Here is a 20,517-nt window from a genome sequence, read left to right as displayed (position 1 = left end):
CCACTTTAATAAGCTGTTAAAGCAAACTAAATATGGCTTGAGAAGGACTCTGTACTTCTATGTTTGAGTCCTTGTGGATGAACTGCAACCTAACTTAATAGGTGGACAAGATTGAAAATCTAACTTAGGAGTATGCACCTGTAACAATCGCTGAGTCCTGGCCAATCCCAGCAGCCATACTTCAACCACCCATACACCACTCAGTGTTCAAACTGTGTTCAAATAAGGCAAACGCCGAGCTGTAACCAATCCAGCTGTTCTGTACCTCACTTCTGATTTCTGCAAGTCACTTCCTTTTTTTTTTTGTCTATAAATTTGTTCTGTCCACGAGGCAACCCTGGAGTCTCTCTGAATCTGCTGTGATTCTGAGGGCTGCCCAATTTGTGAATCGTTCATTGCTCAATTAAACTTTTTTAAATTTAATTTGGCTGAAGTTTTTCTTTTAACATGGTGTCAGAAGCGGGATCCAAAGTACAGCTTCTAGCGACCCCCAGGAGTACTGAGTGAACAAGCAAGGTAACTGCAGGACCTATTTGTGTCCATTGATCTCTCAGAATGGCTGGGGATCGTGGGTAAATTCTCTCTCGGATTTCGGAGCTCCATGGATTTGTGTTTTGAGCTCTCAGTTTCTTTGAGCAAATTTCTGATCCAAGCTGGGTTTGGAAGTCATGACAGAAACTGGACTGGGTCCAGGAATGGATTTGATCTGGGAATTAACTGGCTTGGATCCAGTTAGAGGACTCTTACATCTGACTGGGTCAGAAAGGAACTGGTCATAAATGGTAATATTGCAGGGGGTGTAAAATTTGGCTTTTAAAAATTTTCAGGGATTTTTGTATTCTACTCTTTTGTTTCATTTTTCTTGTGCGTTTAGGTGGGAAAAAAAATTCATTGGCTAAGTTAATCTAGGAAACCTGATAGTAAAGCCAATGTTTTAGGTAAAAATGGGATCCTTAATTTCTGGAAAACCAAGTTCCTTCTGGCTTATACATTAGGCCCGGGAGGCAGCAAAGTCTTACAGAAACAGCGAAACGTTACTAAAGATAACTTACAGTGGTACATTCCAAATAAACAACAAATACACTAGAGTGCATTAATTTTTTTTCTTTTGTGTTGCAGCAGGTCCCTGAAACAAACAAACAAACAAAAACTGGATTAGGTCTCCATCTTGTTTTATGTCATTGGTAGCTTGAACTTGTAACTTCGTGGTGGTACTTTCTCTTGGTCTCTGCCTTCCAGGGGATAGGAATTTTAGGGTTCATGTCACAGCAAACTCTAAAAATTATCTTGAGTAGTTGAAAGGCTTTGCAAGCTCAAAATTAACTACTCTAGACTCCTTCTGGGAAGGGCGATGGAGACTGCCCAGTATTGTAGCTCAGTAGCTAAGGTTTTGTCCTTTCACATTGGTGGCCTGGGTTTGATTCCAAGCTTAGAGAATGAGTACTTTCTGGTTAACACCTGTGTGACTTTTACCACTTCCTGATTTTCTTCCCATCCATGAACAACCTCTAGCTTCCCTTCTTAAATCTTCCTTTCTCTGAGCTACCTTTAAAAATTCCAGGTTTTGTAAAAACTGCTTACCACCTCTTTGAAAATACCTAGTACACTTGTGGTTAAGTCATATCCTTAGTTGAGCTTTGTTGGTTTCATCTGTAAGGTTACCATTGGTAAAGTTCAGAAGCCAGAAATATTGGCCATTTGGCCTGGCTAAAGTCAGGTAATAAGAAATTTAAAAGGAGTTTTTAGAAAGAGCACTATGGTTAAAATTCAGCTTAATTAAAAGCAGATATTCAAGCTCTAACAGCCTTGGGCTCTTTGGGAAAAATAAGAGGTGCCAGAGACCCCATTTTGGAAAAAAAAAAAAAAAAAAGCTGTTTTCTTCATGGAATCCCAGGCATTGGAAATGGATAGATCCCTCTCAAAATCTAAGGCTCTGTTCTTTAGACCAGACCAAATGGTATAAAAATGAGACCCTTAATTTTTGAAGGTCGGTTTTGCCTTCCAGCTGTGACTGCTTATTATATTAGGCCCTAGAAACTGCATGCTTTCCTGGCCCTGTCCTTCCAAGGACTCTACCCTAAACCCAGTAATCCAATTAAGAGACATAGAAACTACTGGGTCTTCTTTTTTTTATTTTTTATTATACTTTAAGTTCTAGGGTACATGTGCACAATGTGCAGGTTTGTTACATATGTATACATGTGCCATGTTGGTGTGCTGCACCCATTAACTCGTCATTTACATTAGGTATATCTCCTAATGCTTTCCCTCCCCTCTTCCCCCACCCCATGACAGGCCCCGGTGTGTGATGTTCCCCTTCCTGTGTCCAAGTGTTCTCATTGTTCGGTTCCCACCTATGAGTGAGAACGTGCGGTGTTTGGTTTTTTGTCCTTGCGATAGTTTGCTGAGAATGATGGTTTCCAGCTTCATCCATGTCCCTACAAAGGACATGAACTCATCCTTTTTTATGGCTGCATAGTATTCCATGGTGTATATGTGCCTCATTTTCTTAATTCAGTCTATCATTGATGGACATTTAGGTTGGTTCCAAGTCTTTGCTATTGTGAATAGTGCCACAATAAATATATGTGTGCATGTGCCTTTATAGCAGCATGATTTATAATCCTTTGGGTATATACCCAGTAATGGGATGGCTGGGTCAAATGGTATTTCTAGTTCTAGATCCTTGAGGAATTGCCACACTGTCTTCCACAATGGTTGAACTAGTTTACAGTCCCACCAACAGTGTAAAAGTGTTCGTATTTCTCCACATCCTCTCCAGCTCCTGTTGAGAAACTACTGGGTCTTCTTTTGTTCTGCCTGTGTAGTTATATATGTGTTGAGTGTGTAATGTTTATATAAGAGAGCTCTAATTAATTGGCCTAAAGAAAAATATGTGCTTAAATCAAATATTTTGTCAGGAAAGTAAAAACTGTAATGTCTTAGTTTATATAACTTTAGTAATCTTTGGGAAATAAAAACAGCTTTAAAGATTATTGGTAAAATAAAGATATTTGGTCTAATATAGACAGGTCAGATATTAGATTTGCTAAATGCTTTAAGGTTATAAACTGCTTTGACTTTTGAAATTGTTCAACTTACCTACTTTGGAGACATTAGATTCTAGATAAGGCCTGGGGACATGTGGAATTAGCCATGCATCTTGGCTATGCAAAGAAGGTTATACAGAAAAGAGATTTTATATAGGAAAGGATCTCGCATGGTAAATTTTTGTCCTAAAATAAAATAACTAGTTGTTTAAAAAGAGGGATGTTTAGGACAAGTCAGAAAGTCCAAGCATGTTGTAGATGGTCTGTGTACATTGTGAAAGGATTCATGAAAAGAAATTTATGCACCAAAAGTAAAAGTTGCTAAAAGTTACCATTGTAACATATAATTAAAACTACTAAAAAATAGTTTTACATGCAAGGTATGTGAGGAGAGTGAAATGTGTTTTTGGTAAAAGATTATAAGAAGGGATGGAAATGTAAATTTTTGCCTAGTTTAGAGGGCTAAAGGATTGTTTCAAATTAGATAAGAAAAAGCTAAGGGTCTGAACAAGTTGCGGAAGTTTTCTAAAAATTAATCTGGTAAAAATATTCTGTGTTTGAACATATTGACTAAATTTAAAGGGGTATTATTCAGTTTTTCCATAAATCGAACATTGAAATAAAAGCACAAATGGTTTTCTTGAAGCACTGATCTGCTCTTTTACAAAAATTGTAGAGGGTGATAAAAGGTTTATAAGAATCTCACCTCATGGTTAAACTGATTAAGCATAATACCAAGTGTTTTAAACCTTTAACATATTTGATAGGCTTTCCAAAATCAAATTTCAGCTTCAAAATAGTCTTTTCTGACCTTAACTTTGGGATGCTACAGAGAGCCGCTGAAGCATCCAAAAGAGAGGTAAACAGGATTATTTGATATGTTATTACATAGGAAGCCTTGTCAAAGAAATAATGTTTAACCTTCTTCAGATTACATTTAGTGAATGATACTAATGTATATTCTAAAATTGTATGGGATTTCTAAAATTCTAATATGTCTGAGTATATGCTATCAATCATAATTATGGTTATTATGTTAAGTTACTGTAGACCACAGAAATAACCAAATTACTATTTATATTGTGCCTTTGACTATTAGTATTTAAAGTCATTTCCACAGTTAATTGCTTAGTGCTGATGCAGTTTTTGAAAACTTCACAAGCACGTAAAATCCTAGAATATGGTGTCTTTTAGGAGACTCATGAAAGGATGAAATGGACCCTAAAAAGCACTCTGGAGTGCAGGTTTCTAATAACTTTAGAATCATTTGAATTGGGTAAGAATTCCTGGAACTTTAATGAAAAGACTGACTAGGTTATAAAATTGCTAACCTAAGTAGAACAAAAATTAATTAAATATCAAGAAAATACTTTGTCAGATTTTCACAGTAAATCAGCCAATACTGAAATTTTTTAGTTATACAATTTGAATGAAATGCATGGTCTACTTCAAATTGCCTATTATGACCCATCAGTTATCAGTGCTATGCACCTAATTTGGAAAAACAACTGGTATTCAAGAGAATATAACTCTGATGTTAATTAAGCATGGACTCATGGAGAACCAGGATGGCTGCCTTGTCCTTCCTGAGCCCAGCCGAAAGAAACATGGGACCATGAGGACACTGTAAGCTTTGAATGACATGCTGAGACCAGAAACCCAAAATGATGGTAACTGAAAGTGGTGCTACGGCCCTAAGTTTTGGTTACACTCTCACTTAAGTGAGAACCCAGCAAAAAGGGGGATTTTTTTAAAAAAACAAAATTATAGGAGGCCAATTGTTTTGGACTGAGCTCATGCACTAGACTCCAACAGACCAAACCAAACAAAAATGGAGTTGCTTATACTAAATGTGACATAATTGAGCTAAGACTTTAAGGAAGGACACAGATCCTAGACTAGAACAGACTAGGTCTGTTTTTCTCTTATAGATAGTGACATCAATGACTAAAGTTTTGGTCAATCTCTCAAAACTGAGAAAATGACCAAAAGGGGGAATTATTAAAGCAAACTAAATATGGCCTGAGAAGGGCTCCATACTTCTATATTCAAGTCTTGTGGATGAACTGTAACCTAACTTAGTAGGTAGACAAGATTGAAAACCTAACTTAGGAGTATGCACTTGTAACAGTCGCTGAGTCCTGGCCAATCCCAGCAGCCATACTTCAACCACTCACACACTGCTGAGCATTCAAATTGTGTTCAAATAAGGCAAACTCCAACCTGTAGCCAGTTCAGCTGTTCTGTACCTCACCTCCGATTCCTGTATGTCACTTCCCTTTTTTGTCTATAAATTTGTTCTGACCCTGAGGCATCTCTGCAGTCTCTCCAAATCTGCTGTGATTCTGGGGGCTGCCCGATTCACGAATCATTCATCACTCAATTAAACTCCTTTAAATTTAATTCAGCTGAAGTTTTTCTTTTAACAAGCTGACAAATCCCTGAAAGTGGAAAGGTCATTTCTGTGGTGGGGGTTTTGAATCAGACACAATAGTACCCATGTCGGAAACTGTCCAGTTGATGCTGGGGCCATTTTCAGAAAAGTGAACCTTCTTCCTATGTGACACTCTTCTAGTAACTCACTAGGGCAAGACTTATCTGCTAAGCTAAAGAGGCATATGAAGTTTCCTGCAGAGCAGGAGTTAATGTTAGAATTTCCTGACCTCCTGAACGAGATCTGTTGTGCTCTCCACAGGCAGAAACTGACAAGATCAAAACTCAGGCCTGCAATATCTTTGATCTCTCTAAAATACCCAAATGTTTATAGGCTTCTTCCTTTACTGATATAGGAAGGGTTAAAAGTATGGTACCTATAAAAGTCTAAACCGATCATTCTAAACCTTTATGTAAATTATCCTAATATTTACTGAGGCCTGGGCAATTCAAGGACTCTCATCAATTGCAGAAGATTTAATTAAACAAGGACTTATTCTATGTATCAGTCCTTGTAATATTCCAGTCTTACCAGTTAAAAAAAATCAAGGGACAAGGATGCACAAGGAGGGAGATTTGTTCACGATTTACGAGCACTTAATAAAATCGTGATACCAAGGTTTCCTGTGGTTCCAAACTCTAACACTTGATTGTCCAGTGTGCCCATTGATTCAGAATGGCTCACAGTCATAAGCCCCTGTCCAGCTTTCTTTAGCATTCTAGCTGAGAAAGAGAGTCAGTATTTGTTCGCTTTTTACTTAGAAAAATCAAAGTATACCTGGACTGTAATGCCACAGAGGTTTCCTGAAGCGCCTCCTTATTTTTCCCAGGCATTACACCAGGACTTGACAACCTTGCAATTTCCTTGAAATTCTCCCCTCATTTGGCATGTAGATTATCTCTTGCTTTGCTCTCCCACTAAAGTGTGGTCTAAAATGGACTTACTTCACCTCTTACAGCAACTTGCACATAAAGGTCACAAAGTTTTGATGGAAAGCCTTCAGTTTTCAAGGAGAAAGTTTCACTCTAAGGCATGACCTGACTGTGGAAAGGGTTTCCAAAAGAATAAAAACCACTCAAGGTTTTCCCTGGCCTACAGCTAAAAGACAGTGAAGAGGTTTTCTGAGACTTGCAGGATACTGCAGATCCTGGGTTCCAAGCTTTTCCTTAACCATCTCACCATTGTATGAGCTCACTAAGAATGCAGCACCAGAACCTGCACCATGGGAGGGCAGTCAGGAGTAGGCTTCTCACTGGCAGAAACCGGCCTTACCGCAGCCCCAACCTTAGGACTTCCAAATTGCACTAAACTTTTCACCTTGTTCATTCATGAACATGGCAATCAGGCATGAGGGAAAACAATAGGCCCATTGCACATTACAGCTGGCAGTCAGCCCCCGCAGCTGAGGCACATCCTCACCACTAAAAGCAGTAGCCACAGCTGCCATATCAGTAGAGTTTTAACCTGAGTTAGTCTTAGGGAATGAACTTTTACGCAAGCCCCACATGTTGTGGAAAATTTATTAAATTCCAGTCAAATTCAGCATTTTTCAGCAAGTAGATTGTCATCTAATGAAATCCTTTTGCCTCCCAATCTCCATCTAAGCTGTTGCACTCTGCTACCTCTGGCTGATTACAGTGTGAGTGTGGTATCTCAATCAGTGGTCTAGCATGCTGCTTTATGAAGCACTCCATTAGCTAATCCCAAGGCGACATTTGTTTGTTGATGAGTCTTGGGCTGAAAACTCAGAAGGAAAATGTCAGGTGGGGTATGCTGTTACCACTCAAAATGAATTAATAGGAAAGGAAACTCTTCCCCAATTTAAATCAGCCTAACCTGCAGAGCTTTTTGCTTTTACCTGAGATTGTCACATAGTTAAGATAAATCAGTAGATATTTTTAGATAGCAGATATACTTTAGAAGTACTTCATAATTTCAGCATGTTATGGAAACAAAGGGGGCTTCTCACTTCCAGTGGGATCCCCATCAAAAATGAACTCCAAATAAATGAACTCCTTTCTGCCATCCTGTTACCATCACAAACTGCCATTATTAAAATCAAAACACCTACTTATAAAACTGCACCTGAGTATCAAGGGAATGCCCTGGCAGATGTTCATGCTAAGTCAGCCAGTACTAAAATTGTTAGGATGTGTAATTTCAATAAACTCCATAAGATTGATCAAAGTCAGCTCCTCTATGATGACTTACTTAATAAACAGTGCAGTGCACCAATTTGGAAAAACAAAATTGGTATCTGAAAACACGTAAATTCAGCGTGAAGTGTGGACCCATGGAGGCCCTGGATAGCCACTTGGTCCTCTCTGAGTCCTTGAAGCTTCCGTTGTTAAGGGCTCTGCACTCCATAGCTCATTACGGTGATCCAAATTACGAAAAATATTGGTGGGGTGATTGTTCTAAAATTGCTAAAAGAGTTGATAGCCAATGTTTGATTTGTCAAACCCATAATCCTGGGAAGACAATGAAAGCTTCAGGTGGTGTATTTATTTCTACCACATGATGAACCATTTGAATATTTGCAGATGAACTTCATTCAACTTCCACCCTTGATGGGATATCAGCATGTTATTGTAATAGTTTGCATGTTCTCTGGTCAGATAGAAGCTTTCCCATGTAAGAAAGCTGATGCTAGGATAGTTGCTAATATGTTATTAGAAATGTGTTTCCTTTCTGGGGCGCCCCTGGAGAAGAATCTCCTGCAACAGAGGAATCTATGTTACTGGACAAACTCTAAAGCAGTTAAACAAGGTATTGCAAACACAATGACACTATCATTGTCCCCATCACCCTCAATCTTCTAGAAAAGTTGAAAGAACAAATGGCATTTTAAGAAACTGAAATTGACAACTGAATCAATTGGATTGCCTTGGCCAAAGGCACTACCATTGGCTTTGCGGGGAATCAGATTCACTCCCAGTGGAAAACATAGACTGAACCTTTATGTAGTAGTTATTGGAGGCCTGTGCCCTTAAAAATAGAACTCATGTATCTCCCACTCTCCTCAATTCTGATATAACTAAATAATGTAAGGCTTTCATGTATTATGCCAAAGTATATTCTCACCAGATAAAAGAAACTTTCCATGATCCATGAGCTGAGAACAATCAAGTCCCTCACAGTTTAGAACCTGAAGACAAGGTCTTCTGGAAAAGACATCAAAGAAAGATTGCCCTGGAACCCTGTGGGTAGGCACCACAGCAAGTTCTTCTCACTACCCACACTGCAGCCAAGCTTTGGGGCCTTGAACCTTGGCTGGGTTCACAACTCACAGCTCAAACGGCCTCTCAAGTTTCCTGGAAGTGCACACCTGTTGTAGACTTTAAGGTAAAGCTGGCCATGGGGAAATTTTCCTGGAAGCAGATGACATGTTAGATATGAACAGTTTTCCCAATACGTGGGAACTAAACTCTTCTCTTAATGAGACGCTTTCCCTGTTGAGTTTTCCTCGTTTATGCCTACTTTTTTACTTGGAAGGATACTTCTGTAGTTAGAAATTCACCATAAATACAAAATGTTGAATTTTTTTTCTGCTAATCCAGAACTTTACATGATCTAAGGGATCCATTAGTTCACTTAGTGATTAACTTTAGGAACATACCTAATGCAATTGCCTATTTAAATTGTATTTGTGGTCCCTTTTATAGAGCTGGACTTCTGGCCCACAAAACTCCTGCTTTGATTTGGCCCAGTCATGGGATGCGAGATGGCTTATCAGCTGAGCAAGGAGGAGTCGGTGCTGATGCTTTTTGTTGCATATGAATAAATACGTCGGGTACTGTACAGACTCAGTCACAAAAAAACAACAAACAGGCTATTTGGTTAAAATGGGTGCACTCTTCATTTGGTGTATTGTTTGATCTATTCGACTGTAGTTGATTTGTTTCATGGGGACCCTGGGTAAGGGGCATACTTTAAACTCTTGGTATCATGCTCCCAATAGTCATAATAGTAGTCTTCCTGGTGCATTGTATTCTTTCAAAAATTTTTAAATGTTTGCATGCAGCTATCTGTTAAACATTAAATGGTATCTATTTATTGGAATGACAAAAATCCTCAAAAGTATGATCATGAGGACTATGAATAAATGACACGTTGAGACTGAATATCTAAAATGACGGTAAGTGGGAGGAGCGCTGATGCCCTAAGTTTTATTCACATTCTTACTTAGGTGAGATCCTGACCAAAAGGAAGGGGTTGTTAAATTAAATTTGCAGGAGGCTACTGATTTGGAGAAAGCTCCTTTACTGGGCCCAACAGACCAAGCCAATATGGAGTAATTCCTGCTAAATGTAACTAACTTAGGAGCACAGTGGTCTCTCGGTATCTGCAAGGCATTGGTTCCAGGACCACCTGCGGATACCAAAACCCGTGCATACTGAAGTCCCACAATTGCCTCTGTGAAACCCATGAATACGAAAAGTTGGCCCTTTGCATACACAGGTTTCACATTCCACAAATGCTGTATTTTTGATTTGTATTTGGTTGTAGATGCAGAAACTGCCAATATGGAGGGCCAACTGTATTTATTTTAAAAATCCTGCAAACATGGACCCGCACAGGTCCAACCTGCGTTGTCCAAGGATCAAATGTATACTCATGTCACAAATATCTGACTTTCAGTTAGTAACAGGCAGCCGGCTGCTTCAAGTGAGATACAATGCTGAGCTGCAACCAATTAAGTTGTTCTTTTTGCCTCACTTCCACTTTCTGTCCATAAATGCAGCCTGACCGTGTAGCAGCCAGGAGCTCTTTGAACCTGTTCTGGTTCTGAGGGCTGCCCAACTCACAAATCTTTTTTTTTCTTCTCAAATAAACTCTGACAAGTTTAAACTTGCTTAAGGTTTTTTTCTTTTTGACAGAGCCGTTGTCACCCGAACCTCTCGTTCAGACTCCTCACCTCCACCTTCTGTTCTGGGTCTGCTCTTTTAGTCTCCGGTTCAACTGCTCCAGCACGACCCTCTCATTGGTCTTAAAGGGCCCTTGATAGTTTCCCTCAATTCACCAGCATTTTCCTCGTCCAGCTCAGAATCTGCAGTCCAAGACTGCCCTTTGATTTTCACTGAAACCATCTGGGTCAGTCTTGGGTAAACTCAGAGATGGGTTTCCTTTTCCTCCGTGCCTGCTTCTTGAGTAGTCTGATGCTTCTGGGGTCTCAAACGCGCAGTTTCGCCCCACTGTAAACTGAGGTGTGCCTTCAATACGGCCCAGGGTCCTTCCACCGCTCTCCCATTCCCCAATCCCACAAGGACTGCTCGAGCTTCCCTCTCCTGCATCCCACCTCGGGAGATGACCTTACTCCACTCTTTAGAGAGAGAAGGAAAGCCACAAGGGGGGATCTTGTACCAACATGAACCATGGGTAAAGAAACCCCACCGTCCATCTAGCTACCCACCCATCCATCCTCCCACCCTCCCTTCCTTCCTTCTGGTTATGATGCTGTTCAAGCCACCTCGGAATCTGCTTTTGGACATCTTCCCTTCCCCCCGTTTTTAGGAACCACAGACACTACTGATTCTCCCCTTTCTTTCTTGTACATTCAACTTTTCCTTCTCAGCTGAGTCTTTCTCAATAGCTTTTTACACTCTTAAGTCTCTCTCATTACAGCCTTTCCCCGTTCCCACCATGACCTTCTCTTGTTACCTTCCCCTTCCCAGCCAAACACTTCGCAGTGTGTGCTCCAGGAATGGCAGCAGCCTCTCCTCGATCCCCGCTCCCCCTGAGCAGCCCTGGGTGCCTGTTCCTGGATGGTTCCAACTTCAGAGCTCCACAGTGACTTTGCCCTCCCAGCGTCCGTGCAGTTTCAGGTGGTGGCGGCTGGTGCTACTGCTGATCTCCAGCTGCCTCACCACTTCTTTTTGCCCTGCAGCATTTCCAGCACTTTTGCAGCTACTTCACATGGAGCTCCCTCCACTGAGCAACATGAGGTGGGCTCTCCACTGACTGGACAGTGCCACTCATCTGCGGATCCCTCTGGTCCACTCCCCACCCTTCACGGGGCCTGGTGCTTGGAGTCTGACCTGGGAGGGCTGCAGCCCCAGGCCTCTCTACCTCTGACTTGCAGAGACTTAGCCATTGGAGGGTCCTGGAAGGACATGAGGTGAGGGAGGGAGCTGGGTCTTCCCTGCTCCCTGTTATGATCACAGTTGCCGCATCTCCCAAGCAGTCCCTACACGCTGCACTCCTCTGGGTTCCATGAAGTTCTCCACACCCCAAGCCCTCAGGCTCAGGGTCAGGGTCAGGGTCAGGGTCAGGTTCAGGGTCAGGGTCAGGGCCCTGCTGTCCCTGGCCCTGGGCCATGGCACCATCCTGTGCTCCCCAACCAGTGCCACGTTCTGCTCACTTGTCTTGCACATGCCTGCGCTGAATCCTGGGTGGGTGATTTCCTCACACTTAGTGGCCAGCCCAGGCCCAGGGCCATCAGGGACAGAGCTTCCAAGAAGGCCCAGTTGCTCCTTTCAGCTTTCTGATGCTACATGAGCTTTTCCAATGCAATTATGGTGATGGCTGATGGAAACTGATTTTTTAAAGTTATTATTTTTAATTGTGGTAAAATAAACATAACCCAAAATTTACCATTTTAACTATTCTTTAGTGCACAGTGCTATGTTTTTAAGAGCATTCACACTGTCGTGCAACCATCACTGCCATCCATCTCCAGAACTTTTTCAACTGAAACTCTGTCCCCATTAAACATGAACTCCCCATTCTCCCCTCCCCATGGCCCCTGGCACCCCCCATTCCACTTTCTGTCTCTATGAACATGAGTACTTTAGGGACCTCATAGAAACAGAACCATTTGTCCTATTGTGGCTGGGTTAACTCAGTTAGAATAAACTACTCAAGATTCCTCCATGTTGTAATGTGTGTCAGAATTTTCTTCCTTTTTAAGTCTGAATAATACTCCAGAATATTGACTTTTTAAAGATGTTTTTACTTTGCAAAATAAGAAAATGAGAATCTAATATCAGTTACTGGAATGCTGTTGAAATTGCCCTGGCCTATGAAATCAGAACATCTTGTTACCACTGGACAACAGAGTGAAACCCACAGTCTGCACCCCATGTTGTGGCCTCGTGACCCCTGACTTTGCCAGCTTCTCTCCTGCAGCTGCAATGCTTTCTCCTGATTCCTCAAAAACAACCCACATCCCCACCTCCATGCACCAATGCATCATTCTTACATTCTCTCCAACTGGAACGTTTCTTATTTTTTGCTGGTTAAAGTCATCACAGTCTTACTGGGCCTTATCTCCCAGGTGAAGCCTGAAGTACCCAGACCCGCTTTCTTCATGTCTCACCTCTGTGATGGTTCACATCCCCTCCCACCTTTCATATCTGCCACCTGTGCATTCATCTCCCCCATAGAGGTGCGAGCACCTGGAGTAGAGACACCGTCCCTGCCTCCTCTTTGCTCATTTATTCCTTTACAGTGAGTTTCTGGGGGCCATGTGCCAGCCAGGTGCTGGCACCAGCCAGTTTGCATGGGGGTGCAAACACGCAACACCCCCAGGTTAGATTTGGCATGGGGCTGGAGAGGACCTGGCAGGAGCAGGGCTGTAAGCTCTGTGGCCCAGAAGCATTCCATCTATGTCTGCAGGTCATCAGGTGGGCTCTGGTGTGTGGCACAGAGCTCTGTTAAGTCTCATCCCTACCTTCGCCTCTACATGAAAAATTGCATGCAGGCCCTTTAAAGGGGGAAATATGGAGAAAACCATTTTGAATTCTTGGTTCCCACTGGGGAGAGGTTCTAAGGGGTGGGGATCAGGTGACATCATGAGTAACTCACGAGGCAGGGTAGAAGCATCTGAACGAGGCATCCTAGGAGATAAAGAGAAACACTGGCTCCAAAATTAAAACAAAACAAAACAAAACAAAAACAAGCCCAGGTCACTTGGCCTCCCCGCTTTGATTTCCCACAGGCTATGACCTTCAAGTTAATGTTTCCTTTGCAGCGTACACACAGTCCCAGTTACTGATTCCCCAAAAACAAGCTGAATCATCATTATACAACAGAAAGAGAACCCATGTCTATCCCATCCCCCATTCACAGAGCCCTGAGCCAGGCTTGTCTCCTAATCTGCCTCTGGATTGGAGCAGTAGCCCCCATTGTTCTACCCAGACTTGGGCTGTGTAAGTGCACACTGCTTTCCCTGGGAGGACTTAGCCACCAGGGCCCTGCGGAAAGCCCGGGCAGAGGCTCTCTCTGCAGGGCTTATCCAGCCACTGTCACTGCAGGTGCCTCTCCTGGATCAGGGCCTGTGCAGGGCTGTGGGATACACAGATGAAACAGGCCCTGTCCCTGCCCTCAGAGGTGTTGCAGTTGATAAAGAGACAGACACACATATAAATAGTTGCATTAGAGTGTGGTCTGTGCTGTGAGTGAGGGAATTCCCAAGGAGAAGGTTGGGGTCAGGCTTCCCAAAGGAGATGATGCACAAGCCCATCCCTGGGGCACAGGCAGGGCTCAGCTGGTGGCTTCAAGAAGCAGGGCATTCCCGGCACAGTGAACTGAACTGGCAAAAGAGGGTTTCAGTGGGACTCGTTCAGAGAGTATCATATAGTCCTGGGACAGGGACAAGCTGGCTTCTGCCACTGTCTGACCTCAAGCCTCAGCTTCTCTCTCTGGTCTATGAAAGGATGGATTCGGAAATCACACAGTTACTTCCACCATCTTTCATGTGTTAAAAGGAAGTCACTACGTTCAGCCTACATTCAAAGGCAGGGGAATTAAGTGCCACTCCTTGAATGGAAGAGCATCAGAGAGTTTTAAAATGACCACAGTCCACCTACTGGCCACAAACTACTTACATCCTTCCACATGCAAAATACATTCGCCCTCCAAACATCCCCTCAAAGCCTCATCCCACTGTAGAATCAGCTCAATATCCAGAATCTCTGCATCTAAATCAGGCTTTGATGTGGGTGAAGCACCTGGGGTATTATTCCCTCAAGTGTAGCTCCTTGAGTAGAGTTGCTCTCAATCTACAGACTTAGGAATTCCAGAGACAAATTAACTGCGCCTCCCCCCTGCACCCACCTGACATAAACTGGTGGGATAGGCATTGGATAACCACTGTAGACGTGCCTGCTCCAAAGGGAACAAGGACAGGAGGCATGCAGGAGTAACTAGTGTACGGCAATTCTAAAATCTTCCTGGGCGGGTCCTGAAAGTCTCTTGAATAGGACTCAGTCTGACTCTGGCCCCAGAGTGATTCTCCACGCTCTTGGCTCCACCCTTTGGGTTCTTTGTTCTATTCCCCAAGTCATCCCTTCTTTTCCATGAAATGCAGCCCAGGTTCATATCCGTATAGTTTCTCAGCTTGCTTCCTCCCAGAATTTGGGGGAGTCTAGAGGTCTCTTTTCATTTTATATTGTCTCTGACCCTTTCAGTCCAAGTCTACACTGTTTTGCTCATATAATTCTTTTAAAAATGTTGCATGTCTCCTGTAGATCTCACTGAGGTTCATGCCTTTAGACAACTGTCAAACCCACACATCTCTTTGAGAAAAGCCCTTCTCTCTCTTGGGCTTCTGCTGAGACTGCTGTCAAGGACAACTGTAAGCTTCTTAGAAATCCTACTATTTAACAAAATATTCTGAGGTGTCCCTTTGTTCTCTTTGAAGATTTTACAAAAGATCTCATGACCACACTCTTGGCTTCATCTTTAGGCCATCTTCCTTGCACTGGCCTGCATTTGCTCTTTGCCTGGAAGCCATTTGTTAGTTTTAGCATCATATGACATCTGGAGAAGCTGGACATTTTCACAGCCCAAGTTATGGTTCCTTTTTATTTAACAATCCTTCCTTTGGCTTATGTCCCTTCTCTCACATTTTAGTATAAGCAGCAAGAAGAAGCCAGGAGGAGGCACCTTCAACAATCTCCTTAATGAGATCCCCCAGTTCATCTGGTACATTTTCTACTTTCCACATGATTTCGGAACACTTTCTGCTTAAAATTCCCTCCTCTCCTGCTCCATACCTCTAAGAGTATGGATTCCTCTCTGATTTCCTAATACATCTTTTTGGGGTGTCTAACCTCCAAGCCATTGTTCAGTGGTTCCTGTCGCCCATCTGCCTTCTCAATTTTAACTCCCAAGTTCAGAACACACCACTTTCCCATTGCAGGCCCCTAACACTCAGCCAGTTTTCCTACAGATTATATGGCACACCTTCCACACACAGGGCATGCATTCAGCCCTGGGGACTTCCCAGGAGAATAAGCTAGTCTTCGCCATCATTGTCCAGAGACATGTTAATCAAGCAATCCCAGAAGCAGTGATAAAATTGCAGTTGAAGGCAGGGTGCAGTGGCTCATGCCTGTAATCTCAGCACTTTGGGAGGCTGAGGTAGGTGGATCATCTGACGTCAGGAGTTTGAGACCAGCCTGGCCAACATGGTGAAACCCCGGTGAAACGTCTACTAAAAATACAAAAATTAGCTGGGTGTGGTGGCGCATGCCTGTAATCCCAGCTACTCAGGAGGCTAAGGCAGGAGAATCGCTTGAACCTAGGAGGTGGAGGGTCCATTGAGCTGAGATTGCACCATTGGACTCTAGCCTGGGTGACAGAGTGAGACTCTACCTCAAAAAAAAATAAATAAATAAAGTTGAGAGAGGTTCATGAAGAAAAATTACAGGCCTCTCTGTGATCACATAATGGAGGAATCTGTCCTAGTAAGGCTGAGGCTAGGGAAAGCTTCCCTGAAGTCATGGCATTTTAGTAGGAACTTCCTGAAGAATGATGGGGGTTCTCTGGACAAAGATGAACGGCACATGGAAACTTTATGAGTCGAGAAGTTCCACAGATATGAGGGACAGCAGGGAGACCTGCAGGCTGGAGCCTAAAGAACAAGGGGACAGTGCCTGAAAGTAGGCTAAGTGGATCAGCAGGCACAGGCCACCTCAATCCTGGGTGCCCATACTGGCTTATGTGAGCAAAATACATGCATTAAGCCATTCAACAAACATTTATTTAGCAACTGCTACAAGCCATCACTGTGTATTGGGGATACAACAGTGAATACATCTCACAAATTTCCTGTCCTCAAAGAGCTTACAGTCTAGTGGGAGAGACAGACAATGAACAAACAAAGAAACAAGGAAATATCAGATATACAGTTAAGTGCTGTGAAGGAAATAGAACAGGGTGATGTGGCAGGGAGTGGCTGAGGGACTTCCTTAGTTTGTGTGACCTGGAACAGCCTCTCTAAGGCTCTGCATCAGATATCTGATATGTGATACCATATGGGAGCAGGCTCTGAAAGAACACTACAAGTAGAGAGGTAAAGGCAGGGGCTGCAGCAAGCCTGATGTGTTCAGGCACTGAGCAGAGAGAGGGCCAGGTGGTCGGGACTTAGCGAGAGGGTCGCCTCAAAAGAAGTGAGGCTTAGCAGGGCACGGAGCAGTGCGGCCGCAGGTGTGGTGGGAAGGGTGTTCCAGGAGAAGGAGCCACCTGGACACAGGCTTGCAGTCATGAAACAATACGCAATTATCACTCCCGGCATTCTACATGGCCTTGCCTGAGACCGGGCTGGCCAGGATCTCTGGGAACCAGGAGGAGGGGTCTGCGGCACCAGGACTGAGTAGAAGGGAGAGAGTGGAGAAGGGGAATTGCAGAGAGAAAACCAGGGGCTGTTTTTCTCTCGGAGAGGCGGGTAGGCACTGGGCGGGCAGAAGCGCCGCTATCCACCCGGATGCGCAGCTGCTAAGGGGCCGCCTCTGCAAGCGGCTGCAAATTCCCGGAGGGCAGCGTCTCCTTTCGCTCTGCTGTGTCCGTAGCACATGGCAGGTACTTGGCCCATCAAGAGTGAGAGAGGGTGAGCGAGTGAGTGAGTCACCGGCTTGGCGAGGGTCTCCTCTGACCCACTTAGCCTTGCCAGCGCTCAGAACTGCCAGCCCTGCTGGGTGCTTGGGACTTTTCAAAGCCCTGGGAATTCTCCAAGGGTCCACAGTAAGTCTTCTTGACCTAAGCGGGAAAGAGCGCAGGCCCCTGCGGGGTTGGCTTTTACATGGCATTTATAGACCCGCCCGGAGAGGGTGCGCTGCGCTCCCGCCATAGTCCCACCACCGGTGAGCGCCGCCCCCACTCGGCTGACTCTCCGCCCGCCCCGCGCCCCTCCCCTCACGGGCTCTGGCCTTAACCAGAGCTCGCGGACTGGCGGGGACAGGTCCCACCTCCTGGCTCCCAGGACGGGTCTGCACCAACCTCAGTTTCGGGGCTGCGGCTCACAGAAGTCTAACCTGCCCGGGACGCCCGCACCAACTCCTGCGCGCGGTGAGTTTCTGGGCTCTCGAGAGCGCTGGACTCCCGGCGGAAAGGAGGCTGCCCCGGCTGCAGCTCCGGGGGCTCCGGGGGCTCCAGGGGCTCCAGGACTCGGTTCTCACCGCAAGGGCTCCTGCGGGGCCCATCAACTTCGCCGCTGGGACGCCGGGCTCGGGGTACGGGTCCGGAGTTCTTTGGAGCAATTGAGGCTGAACCTGGCCAGGGGTCATCAGGCTAAATGACCGCAGCGCCAGGACTGGCCCGCCGAGGATCTGGCCGGCCGCGGTGGTAGGGCCCTTACGGAGCTGGCGCCAACCTGTGGGGTGGGCACTGCTGGCCCGGCTTATGGAAGAGAAAACTGAGGCTCGATAAGAGAAAGGGACCAGCGAAGGCGACGCGATGATTTGTGACTGGGGACTACCTGTTTCCTGGGCCCCTCGACCCCATTCTGTGACAGGGAAAGGTCTTCCCTGATTGGCCAAATCTGGGGGCCTGGCACGAGGGCCTCTTGTGATTGGAGGGGTCGACGTGAGCGCTCAGGGGCTGCGCTGGAGTCCCAGCTCCAGCCACTGCGCTCAAGTGGACGGTCGCGCGTGCAGAGGGAGGCCGGATAGCAGACCCCACAACGTGGCTCCTGGGGCCCCGCTATCGAGAGCTCAGGCCCCGCGGGCACTTGCCTAGGAGAGGAAAGAATCTTCCCAAAGTGCAGACAGAGACGGAATTTAATCAGGAGTCCCAGACTTGGAGTTTGGAGGCATGGGCTCTGGTGTCAGGTGACTTTGTTTCCTCCCCACGCCTCCACTTCTCCTTGACCTTGGGCAAGTTTCTTGTGTTCTGAATCTTAGTTTCTTGTCTCTAAAATCGGGAGGGGCAATGAACAGTAGTGCCTGCCTCCCAAGATTGCTTGAGAATTACATGAGACTGCCCCGCGCCTGGCCCTAGGAAACCCTCGGAGAATGTTGGCTGCTGTTTGTTTGTTTGTTTGTTTGAGACAGAGTCTCGCTCTGTCGCCCAGGCTGGAGTGCAGTGGCACGATCTCGGCTCACTGCAACCTCCGCCTCCCGGGTTCAAGTGATTCTCCCGCCTCAGCCTCCCGAGTGCTAGAACTGCATTCATGGGCCCCAGGGCCCTAGCACCAGAACAGAGGGCCCAGAGCTGCAGTCCTGCAGGGTGGCCCAGCCTCACAGGGACTAGAAGCTGGGTCCTGGAGAGCCAAGCCTGGGCTGGGAATTGGGTAGGAGGGTTGGGAGGCCCAGGAAGCCTCCCAGTGTCCCCACACCACCAAGTGAAAGGACACTGAGCGGCCATGACTGGGGGAGGAGGTGGAGGCCTGGAGGCGGCCCATACGGCCCACAAGGGGCTCTATGGGCTTCACTGCAGGCCCCTGCTCTTTCTGGGGCCAAAGGGCAAGCCTGATTGAGGCCCCTCCCAAGGCTCCCGTGCCTGCCATTCTGGCTTTCCCTGGACTGTGACAACAGCCCCTTGGTGGCCACCTGGACTCTGCCTCCCTGCAGGGGGGGAACGACATACTCTTTTATTTTTTTTTTTCAGAAGTAATCATGTACAATATAAAAAAAGAACATTCAGTTAAGAAAACAAAATAATTACAGTCGTCAAAAACCTCTGAAACCCAAAACCCTTTACCCAGTAACTTTCAACATTTCAGTGTAAATTCTTCTAGGCTTTTACCCTGCAGATAAACACACGCATGCACACACAGACACACACACACACACACACAAACTTAAGCCTTACACAATTATCGTGGTTTGTTACTTGTTGGGTGTTTTGACAGTGTCAGGTTTGTATAACTCAATATTTACCAATATTTTCTAATAATTTAATGTTTTCTTCTTATATTTGATTTTCAAGTATTTATTTTTAACCCAATTGGACTGTATTTTAGAGTAAGATGTGAACTATAGAGCTAGATTCATTTATTTATTTCAATTAGTAGACATTTTTAGAGCAGTTTTAGGTTTACAGAAGAATTGAGGACGGAGTGCAGAGTTCCCATATTCTCAGTCTGTCCCTTCCTGCGCGCTTTCTCCTATTTTTCTTTCTATTCTTTTCCTTTCTTTTTTTTTTTTTCTTTTTTTTTTTTTTTGAGACAGGGTCTCACTTTGTTGCCCAGGCTGGAGTGCAGTGGCACAAACACAGCTTACTGCAGCTTTGAACTCCTGGGCTCAAGTGATTCTCATGCCTCAGCCTCCCAAGTAGCTGGGACTACAGGCATGCACAACCACGCCTGGCTAATTTAAAAATTTTTTTGTAGAGATGGGTCTCACTTTGTTGCCCAAGCTGGCCTTGAACTCAAGGGCTCAAGTGATCCTCTGCCTTGGCCTCCCAAAGTGCTGGGATTACAGGCATGAACCACTAGGCCTGGCCTCCCCTATTTTTAACATCATGCATTGATAGGATATTTTTGTTACAGCTTTTTTCTTTTTGAAACAGTCTTGCTCTGTTGCCTAGGCTGGAGTGCAGTGGCACAATCTCAGCTCACTACAGTTTCTGCCTCCCAGGTTCAAGCAATTCTTGGGCCTCAGCCTCTCGAGTAGCTGGGATTACAGGTGCACCACCATGCCCAGCTAATTATTGTATTTTTATAATAGTAGAGACAGGGTTTTACCATGTTAGCCAGGCTGCTTTTGAACTCCTGGCCTCAAGTGATCAGCCCGCCTTGGCCTCCCAAAGTGCTGGGATTACAGGTGTGAGCCACCAGGCCTGGCCAATTTTGTTATACTTGGTGAGCCA

General features: G+C 44.9%; 1 protein-coding gene and 1 long non-coding RNA gene across 10 annotated transcripts in view, besides 3 other annotated features; one reads left to right on the top strand and one right to left on the bottom strand.

The window, feature by feature from the left end:
• The window catches only part of ALDH1L1-AS2 (ALDH1L1 antisense RNA 2), a 30,105-nt gene extending 11,919 nt beyond the window's left edge, over positions 1-18,186 (bottom strand). Inside the window, exon 1 of the long non-coding RNA NR_046383.1 lies at positions 17,707-18,186. This is a non-coding gene — a long non-coding RNA (ALDH1L1 antisense RNA 2). The remainder of the gene's footprint in view (positions 1-17,706) is intronic.
• The window catches only part of ALDH1L1 (aldehyde dehydrogenase 1 family member L1), a 94,376-nt gene continuing 74,164 nt past the window's right edge, over positions 306-20,517 (top strand). For 4 of the 9 annotated variants that reach the window (NR_072979.2, NM_001270365.2, XM_017005614.3 and 1 more), the window contains exon 1: positions 17,665-17,775. Coding sequence is in view for 2 of the 9 variants with exons in the window: in XM_017005613.3 (XP_016861102.1) it covers positions 17,283-17,289 (7 nt within the window). In the remaining 7 variants the exon portion in view is untranslated. Of the gene's footprint in view, positions 517-16,703; positions 16,784-17,064; positions 17,290-17,365; positions 17,452-17,664; positions 17,776-20,517 lie in introns of those variants that run through there. The other 5 variants (XM_017005613.3, NM_001270364.2, XM_024453325.2 and 2 more) reach the window with 4 other exon arrangements.
• Positions 13,351-13,645: an enhancer, noted in NCBI's record as "tiled region #2719; HepG2 Activating DNase matched - State 5:Enh, and K562 Activating non-DNase unmatched - State 24:Quies". NCBI's record gives its function as "activates a minimal TATA promoter and a strong SV40 promoter by Sharpr-MPRA in HepG2 cells, with weaker activation in K562 cells {active_cell/tissue: HepG2 | K562}" and the evidence as "EXISTENCE:reporter gene assay evidence [ECO:0000049][PMID:27701403]".
• Positions 16,496-17,249: an enhancer, noted in NCBI's record as "H3K4me1 hESC enhancer chr3:125899845-125900598 (GRCh37/hg19 assembly coordinates)". NCBI's record gives its function as "activates a minimal SCP1, AML or CMV promoter by ChIP-STARR-seq in primed H9 embryonic stem cells {active_cell/tissue: H9 hESC(primed)}" and the evidence as "EXISTENCE:reporter gene assay evidence [ECO:0000049][PMID:30033119]".
• Positions 17,250-18,005: an enhancer, noted in NCBI's record as "H3K4me1 hESC enhancer chr3:125899089-125899844 (GRCh37/hg19 assembly coordinates)". NCBI's record gives its function as "activates a minimal SCP1, AML or CMV promoter by ChIP-STARR-seq in primed H9 embryonic stem cells {active_cell/tissue: H9 hESC(primed)}" and the evidence as "EXISTENCE:reporter gene assay evidence [ECO:0000049][PMID:30033119]".

Source organism: Homo sapiens, chromosome 3 (genome assembly GCF_000001405.40).
Source record: "Homo sapiens chromosome 3, GRCh38.p14 Primary Assembly".
Taxonomy (NCBI): Eukaryota; Metazoa; Chordata; class Mammalia; order Primates; family Hominidae; genus Homo; species Homo sapiens.
This window is presented reverse-complemented; position numbering and strand designations above follow the sequence as displayed.